Source organism: Homo sapiens, chromosome 7 (assembly GCF_000001405.40).
Source record: "Homo sapiens chromosome 7, GRCh38.p14 Primary Assembly".
Lineage (NCBI taxonomy): Eukaryota > Metazoa > Chordata > Mammalia > Primates > Hominidae > Homo > Homo sapiens.
Genome location: NC_000007.14, coordinates 86,842,151 through 86,861,230, shown reverse-complemented (window position 1 = coordinate 86,861,230; position 19,080 = coordinate 86,842,151). Strand labels below are relative to the sequence as shown.

At 38.9% G+C, this 19,080-nt stretch overlaps 1 protein-coding gene across 3 annotated transcripts in view; it reads right to left on the bottom strand.

The window, feature by feature from the left end:
• Positions 1–19,080, bottom strand: part of GRM3 (glutamate metabotropic receptor 3) — a 220,971-nt gene that overhangs the window by 3,649 nt on the left and 198,242 nt on the right. For all 3 annotated transcript variants that reach the window (NM_000840.3, NM_001363522.2, XM_047420268.1), the window contains one exon: positions 10,687–10,861. In NM_000840.3, coding sequence (NP_000831.2) covers positions 10,687–10,861 — 175 coding nt within the window. The remainder of the gene's footprint in view (positions 1–10,686; positions 10,862–19,080) is intronic.

Here is a 19,080-nt window from a genome sequence, read left to right as displayed (position 1 = left end):
GAAATGACCAGCAAACATGAAGCCTATGGGCAGCCTTATTTTCAGACAGGTGGGCTTTTGCTTCTCAAGCCACATTGTGACAATGACCATCAACTACCCTTGCCAAGAGAACTGACTCAGGTTGTGAGCTCCCATTCAGGCATGCTGCCTTTGACATTTTAACTAATCTCTTTATCTTTTCCAGGATCAAGTTGTATTATTTCTGTGCATGCTAAAAATGAAATTTTAGCGATTGAAGAGGAATAATGTGTCACAGGGATAAGTCTAGGAGAACTAAGGCCTAGGATTCAAATACCCCCTCTTAAGTTTGTATCTGAAACCTACTCTGATGTTCCCTGTCCTCTTATGGAACTTGATGTAATGCTATGCTTTGGAGTGCACTCTTAGAGTCAACTTGCCCATTGCATTCTAATTTCTTAAAAATTAGGTATATCTTGCCTAGGTAAGGAGGACAGAGTCTGCAAAAGATAGCTGCATGGAAAATCCTCAAGTTCTAGTATAAAATAGTCATCTACTATGTACCCCATGGACATCATCATGGAAGTTAATAGAACAACTTTGTTTCATCTACCCCCTTCATAGGGACATTCAAAGGAGCAACCTATGTCTAAACTCTTTGAGAGGAAGATAATACAAATTCAAGGTCTTCTTACAAGAAATAGCAACAGCAAAAAATACCCACAAGACTGTTTTTGCAACTACTTTTTCCCCTAAATACTTTTTAATGTGTCGAAGGGAACTCTAACTTATATTTTTCTGCTTCTCTTTTATTATTTCATCGGTAGCTTCTGCTGGTGCATTTTATTATGAAGAAAATTCTCATTTTTGCACATGCTGTTGAATATAGTAGGGAAAATTATTGTTTTATGAGCTTATTATCTCAATTACTTTGCTTTTCATAAATATTTTACATATGCCTCCTGTATTAGCCCGTCTGTTATTCACCAAGGTAATAAAATATGTAGAAGGGCAAAGTACTATCATTTCTGTGTGTATGTTTGTGATGAGCTTTTTCTGTTATTCTGATGAAATCCTCATGAGATTTTTAATGGTGTAAGTTTAGCCCATTTTCTTAAGTGTGGTTAAGCACATTTCTATAATCATCCTTTCTACTAGACATAAGAGGCATGTAGCCCTATTTTTGGCTTTCCTGGGACTTGGGGTAAATAGTAACTATTGGATACTCTAGGATAAGGTGTGCTTTTGCCATTCAAAGTGAAAATTTAAGGTAAATGGAAAAGGACCTTATAAATTCCACTATTGATCACAAAAGGGTAATTCACAGCCATCAAAAGGCATATTTTGCTTCACAAACTGGTGAAACGTTGAAGATCAGTGTAACCAAGTGGCAGCTTTGTCTTGCTCTGCAAAATCCACTTCTCTTCCACCAGTAATGCATGGGCTAGCCAGACTTTGGAGAAAATTATTGTATTTTTTCAGATAATTGGACCCTCAATCAATGCTAAATATATTTATTTAATAGATTTTTATGGATGCCAAGTCTGTTAGTCAATTTAGTGGCTAAGACTGGTTGCTGAGAGTCAGTGTTACTTTAGCAGTGTTACTTTGCATCAGTCTCAGAAAAAAAATAAACATTTCAACGGAACAGACATTCCAGTTTGCTCCATCTGTTCCATTTCCTTGCTTCTGATGACCCCAAATAATTTTTTCCCAGGAAGTCTGTTTGTTTAGATATTTTACTATTATGGTCATGGAATCCAGTTTCCACCAACTGTTTGTTGTCTTGTGTCCTGCTTTGTCATTGAATCTGTTTTCTTACTCATCATCTTAATTTTACTTATGCTAGGGTCCCTTGGTTCCATTTCAGGAGAATTGTATCTGGTGATTGAATAATAGATGTTATCTGGGCAGATGAAGACACTACTACTACCCATTGGTTTGGTATTCTTGCTATGTCAGAGATTTCACAGGGGAAGGCAAATAATTCATTATTAAGAAATATAGACTGGGCCTGGTGCAGTGGGTTGGGCCTGAAATCTCTGCACCTTGGGAGGCCAAAGTAGGAGGATCATTTGAGGCCAGTCAGGAGTTTGAGACCAGCCTGGGCAATGTAGCAAGACCCCATCTCTAAAAAAATTTAGCTGGGCAGGATGGCATGTGCCTCAAGTGCTGAGGTCGCAGGATGACTTGAGCCGAGGAGTTCGAGGCTTCAGTGAGCTAGGATCATGTCACTGCACTGCAGCCTGGGTGACAGAATGAGATCCTGTCAGTGAAAAAGGTCTCTTCAAAAACAAGAAAAAAGAAAAAATACATAGACTGAATTCTCAGTGACTGCTTCCTCTTTATGACCCAAATAATGGTTTTAAACTGTTAACAGTAGATTTAAGATCATCATATTCATTATACTGTGGGATAAAAATCTGCAAATCCAAGATTTAGTTTCCAAATGGGGAGTAGAACTGTATGAAAGCAGTGACTTCTTCATTCAATGATTCTTTTCTTGTGAGACAAGATTTATGGAAAAAGAAGATATGTCATGACCCTTTTTAATGACCCATTACTTTACCAACAGAAATAGCACTTGGTCTCAGTCCATTTTCTGTTTCTGTGACAGAATATCACTTACTAGGTAATTTATAAAGAATAGACATTTATTTAGCTCATGGTTCTGAAGGCTGGAAAGTGCAAGAGCATGGCACTGGGCGTCTGGTGAGGGCCTTCCTGCTGTATCATGACATGGTGAGAGGCATCACATGGTGAGATAGAGTGAGCATCTAGTTCAGGTCTCTCTTCCTCTCCTGTGAAAGCCATCAGTCCCATCATGGGGGCCCCACCCTGATCACCTTATTTAATCTTAATTCCCTCCCAAAGACACCACCTCCAATCAGGATGTGAATTTGGAGATTAAGTTTTCAACACATGAAATTTGGAGGACACATTCAAACCATCAGTCTTCAACTAAATACTTCCCTCCATTGTTGCCACATCATGTTGCTTTAAAATATCATGTTCTTGGCCAGGCATGGTGGTTCATGCCTGTGATCCCAGCACTTTGGGAGGATGAGGTGGGTGGATCATGAGGTCAGGAGATCAAGACCATCCTGGCTAACATGGTGAAACCTCGTCTCTACTAAAAATACAAAAAATTAGCCGTGCGTGGTGGCGGGTGCCTGTAGTCCCAGCTACTTGGGAGGCTGAGGCAGGAGAATGGTGTAAACCCAGGAAGCAGAGCTTGTAATGAGCCGAGATTGTGCCACTGCACTCCAGCCTGGGGGACAGAGTGAGACTCCGTCTCAAAAAATAAAATAAAATAAAATAAAATAAAATAAAATAAAATAAAATAAAATAAAAATTTACTCTCTTCTCCTTCCCTCAAAAAGTATAAAGAGGGATGCCCAATAAATAATTGGTAAATGAAAAGGATCATTTTTCTGTGCTTTTCTACCAATCCTGCATTCTTTTCACTCTCTTAGTTGCCCAACATCACTGGTTTCTCCTCTTTTCTATCAAAATATGTTTTCAGACAAGGATCAGAAACTTTTTCACCCTGAGGCTCAGATAACTAATATGAGTTGCATGTGCTACTATGCCTAGGGACAAAAGTCTAAAACCAAAAGTGTTAAACTCTAATAAAATTAGTTTTAGTCTCCTTTCTGTGGAACTAATCCTGTTAGCTTCACCTTTAAGTTATGTACAGTATCAGAACACTTTATTGGCTTCTACTGCTATCTCTCACTCTGGTCTAAACCACCACCATTTGGACTATGCCTCCTAAATGATCTCTTTGGCTGCTCCCTCTTTTATATTTTGCCCACACAGCCAAAATTTATGCTTTTAAAGTCAGGTCATACCACAACTCTGATGAAACCCTTCTAGTACTTTCTCATTTCTTTCAGTCAAAGAGTAAATATCCTTATAATGCCTCTCTGTTCTCCTCGCCTCTTATTCTCACTTTTATTCATCTTCCTCTAGCCACATTCAAACCTAACTTGCTTGGCCAGGCTACTACGTAGTGTCATTATGGGACTCCATGAACATTATGGGACTACATGAACGAGTCTGTACCCATGCTGATAGAACAAGATGCCATCAGGTATAGAGCTGAAAAGTAAGCTTTTAACTTAAAAAAAAAAAAAAACCATTGAATTTGCAGATGCTAACATTCTCATTGTCAGAATAGTCTATGAGCTGAATTTTGTAACTGAGCTGAGGCGGCAAATTCAGGGAGGCCAGAGGAACAATATAGCAGCCTTTGAGAGTTTCATCTATAACTCTAGTTATCAAATTCCTAAAGTATCTAGTAGATAGGGCCCTAGTTTTCTCATCTAGAAATGTGGTTATTAGAATAAATGTTCCAAAGTGGCCCTCCCAGCTCTGATATTTGTGGTCACTGTTATTAAAGAAGGTGGGCTATATTTACTAGGGGAAAACCTAGCAACATATTAGAGATAAAGAGAGAATGATTTAAGGGATGGAAAAAAGCAGTTGTGAGACAAACACAATGAAAGTGTTACATAGAAGAAAGGAGAGGTACTAAACATCAATTCTCTAATACATGTAGAGTTACCTATTGTAGCTGGAGACTCTATTCTTCCATTGACAATGACAAAGGGAGTAAAAGGGAATGGAATGAGATTCTCAGGAATGCTGTGGACTTTCTTTTTTTTAACTTTTATTTTAGGTTTGGGGATATATGTGAAGGTGTGTTACATAGGTAAAAGTGTGTCACAGGGGTTTGCTGCACAGATTTCAAGTGATGAAATAAGCCCAGTACCCAATAGTTATCTTTTCTGTGGACTTTTTTTTTTTTTTTTTTTGCAGAGGGCGATGGAGTCTTGCTCTGTCTCCCAGGCTGGAGTGCAGTGGCATGATCTCGGCTCACTGCAGCCTCCACCTCCCGGGTTCAAGCAATTCTCCTGTCTCAGCCTCATGAGTAGCTGTGATTACAGCTGCACACCACCATGCCTGGCTAATTTTTGTATTTTTTTAGTAGAAATGGGGTTTCGCCATACTGGCCACACTGGTCTTCAACTGCTGACCTCAGGTGATCCACCTGCCTTGGCCTTCCAAAGTGCTGGGACTACAGGCATGAGTCACTGTGACTGGCCTCTTTTCTGTGAACTTTCTAAAGGGAAAAATAGATTAACATTTATCTGGTTTAGATGCTTTGGGTATATTCTCCATGAAAGCAGCTGGCTTGACTTGCTGAATACTCTAGTTCTTCCTGCACTGCCCATTGAAGATTTACGTGTATGATATACCTGTGGCAAGAAAGACCATCAATTCAGTTTGTATTACCAAATACCTTGCTAATTTTCCTGGCCAGGCTAGTACATAGTGTCATGTGGGGTTCCCTGAGCTTAGATTACAGGCACATGATGCTGTTTTTCGGGGGCTGAACTATAGAGAAGAAGCTTGGGCATTACGTGTTATGCTTTTATTTTATAAAGTCATATTCAGACTTCAACAATGGCTTGCCCCCTGCTAACTAGGCCATTGCCCCTTGCTAACTAGGCCAGAGTCTGGTCTCATGTGCTTGCTTTCTATGGTTGTAGCTGTATGGAAAATGATGCCATGATTCTAGAAGAGTGTTCACTTAATCTTTTTATACTACCACTTTCTTTTTATAATGCGAAAAAACTTTGTGATAATAAGTAATTGTATTAATTGAACAGTTCACACATTACCACCTAGACAAGTGACTGTCTTGGCAGAGAAAATCAATCTCCATATGCCTACAGCTCCTTGGGGACCAAAATCTGGGCATCATTGGGTAGTCGAAGTTTCTTGGCTGATCTTCATGATAATGACATACATACATCTGAACAATTACCATGAGCAAGAGACACATATCCTTATAGGACCAAGTCTGGGTATAATAGCTCTGAAGACTATGGGGCACACTTCATTTTTCACCTTTCTCTCCCCAGTCTATGCTGATACAAAATCATGTTAGTGCCAATATTCTCACCTGCATGACTCCTATAGGGTTTTATGCTATGTAACTTCATGTGTACTTCCAGCTTGTCTCTTTAAATATTATGCAGTTCTACTTACATTCCCAACATATGTTATTGATTGCCTGTCCTTAGGAACCAACTCTGGGAATCTCTTTTGCTTCTAGAGCAGAAGAGAATAAAAATGACCTCTTTTTCATCCATATACAAAGGATGTTTGCTTATGTGTGTGGGTGTGGGAGTAGAATTAAAAGTACGAGTTTAGGATTTCAAGGTCTGTGAGTTATACTGCCATTAGAAGGAGAATGCCCACTTTTAGTAAATGTTTTCTGAGCGGCCAGGTTCTTCTATGCTGGAAATGACTTCCCTGAAAGTTCCAGAGGGAGCCTGGGAAATCACTGCATGTGGATGTGGCCACTGGTATTATGAAGCAAAGGGTGGAAATTCAGAATGTCACTCCCTCTCTGAAACCCTGCTTCCTCTTTGATGGGCTAGAGAACCTCCCTGCAGTGACTGCACTGATATCAGTGGATGAAGCAGACAAGGATGGTTTTAGGTAGAGGTTCTCAAAATATTTTCTTTGGACCACTTCTATTGAAACAGCTGGGGTGTCTGTTACAAACCAGATTTCTGGCCTTTGCTCCAGACCACATGAATCAGAATATCTATGGGTGGGACCAGGGCATCTCCATTTCAAAGGAGTTATTTTTCATATACAAATATCTGGGAATCATTGATCCATGGGTATTCTTAATGGAGAAAAATTAAGGTGTCATTTATTATTCTTACTTCTACTGTATATAATTAATTAGGCACAACTTTAATTGTACTCTTTTGCACATAGCAATATGTAAAACTTTTCAGTTTTCCAAGATGTTGTTAACCATGTTCATTCTTTCATGTCTGCTACTGAGTGTGGTCATGCTTTTCCAGTTTTGTGGAGCAACTGGTCAGCTTTAAAAATTCAATACCAATACTCTTTCTGCTATCAACCACCTTGGCTGCCATCAGGAGGCTCTCCTAGACTCCAAAGTAATGTGGTATTTCTCTTACTCTCTTGACAGAGAATTAACTTGGAATTGATATGGCTGTACTTTCCAGTTGGGGTGACTTCTTGGTATTATACGAGATTGTGTCAAGTCACTGTAATTCTTGATAAGATGCAGTAATGGATTAATTGGCGATTTGGAAAGTGTGGCATAATTATAATAATCACAGACTCTTTGAGAGGTGGGGTCTATGCACTTCCCATTGAATCTGAGCTTCGATAAATAAGTATGGTACCAATTATGCTATACCAGTTTCCTGGCCAAGCCAGTTTCTACTTCCTTTTTTTATGGAACTTGCTCATTAGGAGCCAACATGGACAGGCTTCCTGCCAAGATGCCAGGAATAAGAGTGAAAGCATCATGGATCTTCCAGATCAGCTCAGTCTCTGCTTAAAACCATGAAAGAACGTCAGCCTCATGGAGCAGATGAACCAAGCCCTGTCTGAATTCCTGACTTGTAAACTGTAAGAGATAATCATATAAAGAGGTATTGTTTTAAGCCTTTAAGTTATGGAGAAGTTTGTTATGCAGGAATAGATAAAGTGGAGGAAACGCGATAACTCTGTTTCCATATTAGCTTACTCTCATCTCTACAGTGGGTTTTGTTTTACCTCTGAAGAGAAAGTCAGAAAACCAGCAGCAATATTAACAATCGCCCAATGAAATAAAGTGCTAACATTATACTCACTGGAAGAACGTGAATTATGTACAACCCAAGAAAAACATATGCTTTATCTAATGAACGCAGAGCAGTTTAAGGAATGTTCTTGATTTCTAAAGCAACATACTTCCAAGTATTTAGGAGGGAAATGGATATAAATTGAGCTGAATATACAATAGAGGAAACAGACACTAAGATATTAAATAATTGCTTCAATTCTACCAAAGTGGGTCAGTAACATGTTCATACACAGAACTCAATTCCATAGACCACTGGCCTTTAAACATCTTTGATTGTGATCTATAGAAATAAATACATTTTACCCGGACCTGGTATACATATACATATAACTCTTCATGACTTACCTTTTATGCCTTACCTTTATTACATGTAATGCACTCTTAAGATTTTCTGTTTTTTTCTTTTAAAAAGCACTGGCCAAAGATACTAAATTTCATGACCCAATAATGGCTTACAGTCTACAGTATGAAAACCACTGTCCTAGACACCAAGCTTCATGGGGCCAGGGATTCCGTCCTATTCGTTACTGTGTACACAGTGCTTAGAAATTTTTGGTGTGTAGTAGGTACTCAATAATTTAATGAATGAATAAATTTCTTGATATGAAATACTTCCAACTTATTAAAATGGGAAAGTTTTTAATTGAAAGTCAGGAAATCAGGCTCAACTCTTGACTCTTGTATCACTGTATATCCTTGAGAAGTAACTTCAATTCTCAATTTTCTTACCTATAAAATAGAACTTGTGATATCTGGTACTCATGAGGATAAAATGAGTTCATGAATATAAAACTACTTTGAATAAAAGAGTAAAAATGCAAATAACAGGTGAATGTATTTGTTACTTATGCACGTTAAAATGCCAAGAGATGTTATATAAAATCTTCACTTTGTTACATGGTACTACTTCATTGATTTGTATTGATTAGGGAAATATTGCTGAAACAATGAGGTCTGAATTTAGACCTTTTTTAAAAAAAAGTTTATTTATAATTTTATTAACAAGACATTCCAACAATGTTCAAACACCTGTCTTGAAGTACTAATTGGGTCACTATCAGATTAGCATACTGAATAATAGTTTAACAGGTCTGCTGTGGTTGCAGTACATTGTTTTTATGTAGATGGATATTTCTGAATTTCTAACAAGAGACTTGATTGGAGAAAGTGCCCTTGCTATCCCTTCTGGAATTTGTTAATTCCCAGCATATGCATTAGAAAATTCTGCCATTTCTAAATTACTGAGGTCTGGATATACGCAATTTTGAATAACGTCTATGGAAGACTTATGGACTCTGCTAAATTGTTCTAATAACAAGCAAAAGTTCTGAGCTAGCAATGAGACAATTTTGCTTGGATAACCTTCTTTTTATTCTCTCTGCAAAGCCTGGCCATGAGAACTTTCCCAGCTTGCTGTCTGGAAGAGGCTGCACGATACAGTAGTTAGGTGCACTGGCTTTGAAATCATAGGAACTGACTCTAAATTCTGTTTCTGCCATTTTTAAAGTGTGTGACCCTGGGTGAGTTTCTTTACCTTAAGGGGTTGGAGCATTGAATAAGACAGCACACACATACACACATGTGTGTAAAGTATTTAGCATGGTGCCCAGCATATGAAAAACACTCAACAAATGAAAGTTCCTGTTACCTGTTGTTAATATTTTTATTAGTTATTGACAGTTCTCTCTGGGCTGGACTAGGTAGCTGTTAAGATTAGTCTGCTAAAAAGAGCTTTGTTTGCTCAAGAAATCAACATATTTCTCTAAGATCCATGGAAAACGACCTCACAGGCTTTGCCATGCCCTGAAGCTCAACTTTTGTGACACGTTGGAGTTTAGCTGGAAAGACAGGAATGTGCAGCCTATCCATGAACATGTGCTCTCAGACTGTCAGTCTTCCTTCAGTTTCCTGGGGGAAGGGCTGCCCTGTTAAATTCTGTACTTTGGTAGAGAAATTGGGGCGCTAATGTGATTGCTGACCCTGTGATGCTGAGCTATTTTGAAGTATCCTTTCTGATCAACTCGAGGCAAAATTGTGAAGCAGTCATTTGTCTCTGTCACTTTCTGTCCTCCCTTCCCCTCTCATGGTTCCAGTTCTTTTCTTCCCCCTCATCCAGTGTCAGTGAATTGCTTCTACTTCATACCACAATTTAGCTGAAAATGGCTTAAAAGGTTATCCCCTTCAGGCACATTTGTGCTTTAGAGAACTCTAAAGAATTAAATCAATGATTCTCTAAGGATAGTGTTTCAGACATTTGCAGGCCAGTAGCAGAGAGAATTAGGGACTGGGAACTATCCTAGTATCCTTCAGTTCACACTGCCTTCTAAGCTGAGAAAACATTGTGTCATTGAAGTAGGAGGAAGATCTATTCCAGCATTTTCCAAGGTGTGTTCCACGGGATGTTAGTTTTACTGTGATAAAATATTTTTAAAAGTATTTTAACTTTTAACAAAGTTAAACAGGTTTTCTTGCATAGAGATTCTCAAAACCTATAACACACTCATGTTAAAGGAAGTACTGTAAACTTCCAAGGGGGAATTAGGAATGTAGCACTTTTCATTGTATTTTATTATCTTCCCCTTTTAATTTTTCATGAAGCTCCTTTGGCATCTGTGTGACATATAATATATTTTATAAAACACCAATCTAGCCCAGTCCCCTATTTTAATTAGTAAAATGAGGCAGAAAGCAATAGAGTGACTTGTTTGAAGTTATCTATTAAATTGAGTGCAGAACAGGACGAGAGACCAGGTTATCTAACCCCACAACATGGTCAAACCCCTCACTGCAGCTATGTATTTAATGTCTTTGTTCCCTGCTAGACTGTATGTGCTGCCCAAACAGAAACTTTGACTTCTTTGCTCCTTACTGAATCCCCAGCACTTAGCACAATACCTGACTCACAGTGTTTAAATCCATACTTAGTAAAATCGAATTGAGATTGTTCATGGGGACAGACATGTGTTGCCTGTTCTTGGCAGGCTGGTCCTGACTACAATGCTATGTATGAAGGAGTTAGTGCTGAGTTCCATACTTACACTGAGAGTATGTGGTCCCAGTTCCACTGACACTGAACCTGTTGAGGTGCAGTCTGTGTGTGACAACATTCTTCTGGGGTTGAAACAGGATGATGTGAACCTTGGGTGCAAACAAACAGCCCAAGACCACAAAGCCACTCAGGCTGACAGAGATGCACATGGTTGTCGTCTGCACCTACAAGAGAAGGTTGGCTAGTAAGTGTCTGGCTGTACATTCAGTCAAGTGGCCAACTAAAGAGAGTGCTGAAATAAGACCAAAATGAAAAATCCAGAATAATTGACAGCTCTGTCCTTATTGTAGCCAAATCAATACAGTAATTATATTGAATCTTCTATGTTTGGGGTAGTCTTGGAAATATTGCTTAGGATTTGCAAGCAAACACCATTTGTGTGGGGTGCTTCTGAATGCTTGCCAAGACTTCACATGGATTTTCTTGTTTGTTTTCTTTATATTTTTATAAAGATATTTCTGCAAAGCCACAGAAGGTGGAATCTTAAATAGTAAAACATATTCAATGATGAAGTGGCCAGATTGCTGATGATTTCAGTCTATGAACTTGGCTTCTTTAAGATTTAAGGTTATTATAAACAAATTTGTTTTGTTTGTTTGTTTGTTTGTTTTTTACATTCTTCTATCTCCCTTGCTTGCTGGAAGCTCTGCCTATCAGCTACTGGTTTCCCTATTCTTTGTTGGGGATCACTGTCAGCTTTCTTCTGTGGTACCTTTGCTTTTGCTTATTGGCATCTCTGGAATTTTGATTCATCAGGTACTAACTGTTCAATCTTCATGTTCTCTAGGCTTCTATACACCCATTCTTGACAGGTAATTTTCACTTCTCCCTCTTTGTTTACCCTGAAAGTTCCTCAGAACCAGGGTTTATCATGTCTTCTCATTCTCATCCCAGAGTAACTTTAGATTTTTTTCCTTTCCCCTTAGGCACATGCTATTATAAAGTAGCATAATTTCAAATGTCCTAAATGACTTTAGGCATCTATAAAACATTTCTGTAAAGTCTCTGACCTTCCTCTCTAATCAAGGAAAGCTGAAGACTGAACACATAACTGGAGAAGCCACATAATTTTAGAATGCTTCATTTTACTTTTGATTTTTAAAAAAAATTCAGCCTGCCCTGTGGCATAATTCTTTAGGCCTTGCTTACTTTGAATCCTGAAAGCATAATCCATCCTCGTCATTTTAAAGTTCTTGTCTCTCTTAACTAGTCCAGTGCTCTCCACCTTGGGACCCCTAATTGCAGGCTCCTTTCTTGTCAAATTCTCAGAAAACAAGCTGCTATCTGATTCTGTGATGCAAAAGCCTTCATAAATCTGAATCTGGGACAATTTGTTTTCTACGTATATGTATAATATGATGTTAGCATTGTCCTCTTTCTGCCTCAGTTCCTGCCTATGACTCTGAAGCCAGTGTGAAGGATATCAGAGATCATGGGAGGGGGAGACAAATCCAAATTTGCAAAATTTCCAGGAAACCTTTTCTAAAAGCATTTCTGTAACTCTTAAAACTACTCACACACTTTAAGACATTACAAGAAGAGGTGAGGAGAGGCTTTTAGGAGGAGGGGATCTTGGGCAAAGCTGTACTGTGATTTTTGTCTCCTCGCTGAAAGCCTAGCAAGGAGTGCTTCAGTGTGGCCATTTACAAAAAGTCAGGTGTTTCTGCAGGAAGAGGATGCCCTGAATTGGGACCTGATTCCTGCCTTGGAAATCTAGAAGGTGAGGAAAAGGCTAGTTGCTCTATTGGCATTGCATAAAACTTGCTACTGTCTTGAGGTAGTCCTTTGTTCTGAGAATTTATCAAAGCAAAGGTTATGTGAATGGTATGCATGGACAAGATGGGCCACACAAAAACCATTATGCATGGTCTTGGGCTTATGTCTTGGCCTGGAGACCTTCACAGAAAGAGGCTTGGGGTAGGATAGCTGGATGCCCTGAGAATGGGAATGGAGCCACCAGAGACAAATCAAAATAGAGATCTCCCAGTCAACTCACTCAAGGTCCTGCAGGGGAAAAGGCCAGAGGGTAATTTCTAAAGATCACATGAAAGATGAAAACGCCCTCTAGTCATCTTCCAGGCATCTGAAGGATGTATCTTTCCATGTGTGGACTTAGAGATCATAAAGTCATCTAGCCACAAAGAACTGTCCAACTGCTTCCTTATTACTCTTTAATCAGCGCTGAGAGGGAAGTAGCAACTGGTGGATTGGGGAACATAAGCACCAAGGAAGATGCCAACTACTGCAGGCTCTCAGCCTAAGACAGGCCAGACCTCAGGAGGAAATGAGATTGAATGTGAAGACACAGTTTTGATCATTACATAGGACTATATATTTTAATTTCTTAATAAAGACAATTTTCAATTGAAAATGATGGTAGTACCTTATGTTACCTAAAAGCATATAAATTCATGGGCCTACCAAGGTCATGGATGTTTTTTCTCATTGTGCTATCCCCAGCACCAGAACTGAGCCTCACATGTAGTGAACATTTGGTGTTTGAATACGTGCACAGGAATTTCCATCCCAAGGTGGGGGATGATTACCCTTGCTAAATACTGAAGAGATAATGGAAGGAGCACTAAAATTGCATTTTTATCATAGTTTGTGCACCATGTTTATTCAGTATACCTGTTATAAAATTGAAATAGCTTTTATTTATTACAAAGCCCAAATATCAGTCTCATAGTTTCAGTTATCCAGTTCCTTCAGTAAGTCACACTATTAAAAGTCTGTTTTTATCTGTAATTCTGTGTTCTGACCCTTTGAATACTACCAGCTTACGATGCTCTGTTTTCATCTTTGTCGAACTCGCAGCAATGCTTGACACAGTTAATCACTTCCTTCCTTTTGGATTCCTGGACACATCTTTCCCTCAGTGGTTGTTCTTTGTCTTAGTTATCTATTCTACTTGAACTTTAAGTGCTGGAGTTCCCCAGAGCTTAGTTGTGGACTCTCTTTCTTCACCATCCCACTGAGTTTCATGGCTTAAATATTGATGATGTCCAAATCAATTATTACTGGTTTTGACCTATACTGTGGGCTTCTAGAATTAAATATTCAACTGCCACCATGACATATTCTTTTGGTAATGAAATAGGCATATCGTAATAATGTAATCAAAATTTGGTCCCTTTCCCCAAGTGTCACTGTTTAAGTGGCACCAAATGCCACCCAGTGTGCAAGCCAAAGACCATCCTTGACTTTACCATTGCCTTTACACTTACACATCCAGTCCAACAGCAAATTCTGTTGGGAAATTATTCTACATGAGCCTCTCATGTTATTTTGTGAGCAAGGCTCTGACTGCCTTTGTTCCAGAATGTCTTTTCAAGGATTTTGTGTAGCAAAGAGCTTTAGAAGATAGAGACAGTGCCTACCTCTAGAACAAAGGGCAGCATACTATTCATTATAAAAGATTCAGGTTCCCTAGTCTCAGAGTTCCTCTCCTGTGATGTAACCCACTGATGGTACAGGGGTCACCTGGACTACTTTGTGTAACCCTGTGAGAAGTGGCACTCAGGAAACCTGTGCAAATATTGACACTCTGGCTACTGCTATTGCTGTGAGTCATAAAGGTTTTTGCTAGCATTAGTAAAACTGTGGTAGGCTAACTTGTTGCCTTGTAAGTATAGTAAAATCTCAGGCACTACAGTCTTTGACAGTTTTGACAATGAGGAAGAAACGCCAACAGACACATGGCTTTTTCAGAAAGAAAATATGAGCGTTTCAGGGGCTGATTAACAGAATTTGAGGAAGTCTGTGGGAATCACTAGCAAACATGTTGACCAAATTGTATGATTAACCAAGAATAAATAGTGTTCCACTTTATTTCCTGTTAAGGAGAAGGATTTGGAGATGTGGTCGAAGTTTGAGGAACAGGAATTATGTTCAAACTCAGCTGCTAGACTGATGCCTTGGCTGTTGTTAACTCTTCTCTGGAGGGTAGAGTGGGGTGAATTTCCTCCCCATTTGGATTCAGATTCACTTGATTCTAATAACTAGTACTAACATTTGTCCTGGGTAGGCAGAAAATTCCACTCTCTTTTACACAAAAATTGCAGAGACATGTACCTTCACTGAGCATTGAGAGAGAGAGAGACTTTCAGAGAAGGTAGAAGCCAGGTGAATCATTCAAACTTTGACTGGTTTCCTTGGGAGGTTGAGACAACAAGACACATACGCTTGTTAAGGAAGAATGGCAACAGCTGGGCCCTTGAAGGATTAATCCCCAGCTGTAGTTTCTTATTCCAAACTTAGATTCATTCCAAGATGACAGTCAAAGGATTCAGAGTTTTGTTTTGTTTGTTTTTCAGTGGAACTTAGCTTTCTGGGAAGATATAGATGAGGCACTGATTTGTATTTGGGCGCTTACTCACCTGGATTGGTTTACAGTGTTGACAAAGAATGAGAAAGGTATGCAAAGAAATCTAGACAAATTCCTACCATCAGCGACAGCCCTGGAAAACTTCCCCAACCCTTATGTTAAAAGAAGGCAAGACCCTAAGAGATATTATCATGATGAGAGAGCAAATGCTCTGTTAATTTTGTATCAAAAAGAAGCAAAACACACTTGGTGTGTGAGTAAAGGCCAAATTAGTTAAGTGAACAAGCCATGAGTTCCAGCCAGAAAGCTATAGGCTCTGGCTTCTTAGTCAATGGGTCATCAAAGTTGAAGCCAATAGTGACAGTAATGATGATCTTATTTCATAATTTAGTCTTTTAGGTGCACAAAAATATTGGACCTCATATGGTTGAGCCATAGGTAGCTGCTGAGTGCTTAAAACTGAAAACAAATGTGTCTTATTTATTGGCAAGGAGCTGCTCTCTCACTGTGCTGCTCTACTCCCCTCCCCCATCCTAATTTTAGCTGATTAAGGAAAATATTACTTAAGGCTAGATTAAAATTTCCCCATCCTGAAGGGTGGGTGAAGTCCATACACACCAGACTAAGTATGCTGAGGAACTTCAGAGAGGGGAGGAACTCAAAATTTTATGCCTTGTTGGTGACAGACACCCAAATCACCATCCTAACTTATTAGGGGAAAGGTAGGGCTGGGGCTGGTGTGAAGCAAGTGAGGCACTTGCCTGAGATACAAATTTAAGGAGGCATCAAAAATGCATTAATCAAGACAATAATGCAATATTTAAAACATCAAAAATGCTAAGCCCATGATGAACACAATGTCAACTTTTTAAATAAGGATAGGATCAATAACAGCACCATGCTGTTGTATATTTGATCCTAAGGCAAAAAGAAAGTAAGTAACACTGATCCTCTTTTGAGTACTGCTTATGCAGGTGTCCTAGCCCACTCTGCGTTGCCTTGTAGAAATCAGGACGAGGCTGGGTGCAGTGGCTCTCATCAGTAATCCCAGCACTTTGGGAGGCTGAGGTGGGAAGATCACCTGAGATCAGGAGTTTGAGACCAGCCTGGCCAACATGGTGAAACCTTGTCTCTACTAAAAATACAAAAATTAGCCCAGTGTGGTGGCATGTGCCTGTAATCCCAGATATTTGGGAGACTGAGGCAGGAAAATCGCTTGAATCCAGGAGGCAGAGGTTGCCTGAACCCAAGGTCACGCCATTGCCCTCTAGCCTGGGTGACAAGAGCGAAACTCCATCTAAGAAAAAAAAAAGAAATCAGGACTCAAGGAATGTACAGAAGTGTTGATACTCTGGCTATTGCTATGGCTATGAGTAATAAAGTTCTTTGTTTCTGAATCAGGAGTCTCATGTCTTCTGACACAAGGATTCTGAAACTGTGGCAGGCTAACCTGGTAGATTGCAACAGGGTAAAAACCTTTCACAGTTCTTGACAGGTTCTACCTCTACTTCTAACCATCTCCATTGTTAACATCCTACTATGGGATGGTTCTGACCCCAGTACCCACCTCAACTTCCTAACCAGTCTCCTCATTTATGCCTTTTTGCCATGTAGTAATAGAGTCTTTACAGCAGCCTGATTTTTTCTACTAAAATGTGAGATCATAAACTCCCCTGCTTAAAAATCTTTCAGTGATTTTCCTTTCCATATAGAATAAAATCTAAACTCTTTGCTATGGCTTATAAAGTCCTACATGATTTAACTCTCCTGCCTATTTCTCATATCAAATCACTCTTCCATTTAGTCATTAAACTGTAGCCATATGCTTTTCTTTTCTAAGATATTTTTGTTTAAGAGTGTTTGAACTTGCTGTTTCATCTGCATAGCACATAGAATTCCAATGTCTGGCTGCCTCCCTTCAGTGGAATATTTTCTTCAGTGGAATATTATGAAATAGGTACCAGCAAAGTAGGGGTGACACAAATTTTTTTAAAGAATTTGAGATATATATTTTTGAATCTTCAAAATAGTCAACATGGGAAAATAGGAATTTCTTTGTAAGTATTTGAACCTTGTCAAAATTCTAGAGTCAATTCCCAAGACTCTGCCTACTCTAGGTAAATTGTTTCATCTGCTCCAACCCCCAAAAGAATCTAGAGTCTTGACACTCCAAGTATGGTCCTTAGTCTAGTAGCATCTCCATTTCCTGGGAGCTTGCTGATATCGAGATTCTTGGTCCTCATCCTTTCTTACTGAATCAGAATCTTTATTTCAACAAGATCCCCAGGTGATTTGCATGCACGTTAAAATTTGAGATAAACTGCAGTAACCCGCTTTTCAAGGTGATTTTTTAAAAATCTCATTACAGCATTCACTACTGAATAAGCCTGCATTTTCATTCATTCATTATTTATGCTCCATCTCCATCTTCACCTCATTCTCCACTAGACTGTAAGTTACAAAAGAGGAGAGACTTGCCTATGTTGATAACAGTATCTCCAAGGCCTATAATAAGTCCTCAAATATTTTTTGGAAGACATGAACAAAACACTCAGTAATTACTATAAATGAATTCCTTTATGGATAACTTTCCACTCAAACATGGCTGAATTTTTATTTACACAATTTAAGCTATGTATTAGATCCCAATGACTCAGTGTTTGATTCTTAAACTATCTGAGAATGGTTAGTTGTGATACAGCAGGAGATGACTCGGATAGTTTCTCAAAAATCCTTTGAAATTTTTTTCTGACTGAATTCCTTGTTTGCTCTGTATTGAATTCCTATAAGAGCTTCAATTAGTCCTCCTTGATTTAGACTCTACCCTTTCAAATCCGTCCTTCATATTATGGATGCGTCTGTGGTACAGTATGAAGGGCATGGATTTGAATCAGAAAAACTACTATTTCATAACTGTGCCACCTGGGAAGGTCATTATGCTCTGTTTACTCATCTTTCTAATGGATAATAAAATTTACTTCCAAATTTTATCAAAATGAAGATAAGTGAGCTCATGTACTTAAAGCATCTAGCAGAGTCAGTTGATCAGGAAGGTTTGTTTCCCTCTTGCCTTTCATCATGTCACTTTTTTGCCCAAGCAAATAACCAAAACAAAACAAACTTAAGATCTCAAAGCCCTTAAACATTATCTAAATGAACCAGCCCTGCCCCCGGCCCATTTTCCAACTGAGTAAGACTGATATGGCTTCCTTCTGGTTGGTTCTTTCCTGTCCTGTCTCCAGAATATTCCCTATATTCTCTAAATACCTTAGTTGCATTTGCCTGCCAAGGTTACGGGGTAAAAATCCCATCTTCAAGAAGTGATCCTGGAAAGATCATGATGTTACCCATATAACTCTTATGGAGCCCACAGGTATTTAGAGTTTATATCATCAATTTAATTATAAACTATTCTGTGTTTATAATTCTTGAATTCTTTCTTGTTTAATATCTTTCTTCCAGCTGAGATATAAACTTTGTGAAGACTGGAATCATGCCTTATGTTTATTTATAACTCACAATGGGTGGCAAAGTACTGAGATATAAACCTTGTTGACTGATGCTCAAAATTTTTTCAGCTGCTCTTAAATTATTGCTGCTAATTCTGTCCGAACCACACGATTTTCCTCTGGGAAATTTTAAATCTCAGTCTTGTTCTGGAATTTCTAGAGCAAGGTTCCCAAGTTCAAATGCTTATAGGGTCTATGAAAGTTCATAAGTGAAAGGGACCAGGTGTGAGAATTCAGAGATCAGTGGGAGATAGGGGCAACAGGAATAAGAGTGCTCTGTCTTCAGGGGTGAGCACTACTCAGGTCCAGCTAATTGTTGAGTATGGGAATTTGGGCTTACGTTTTTACTTTGTTAAGAAAAACCAAGAATCTGGATATTTATGTAAAGTTTCTCAAGTTTCTAACTTTGACAACTATTTCAAAACAGTACAGGCAAAACTAGACATATTGGTGGGATAAGAAGAGCATGTGATTTATTAGAGCTGAGGGTTTCAATCCTGGCTGCAAATCAGAGTTACCTGGGAAGCTTTGAAAAATCCTGATGCCC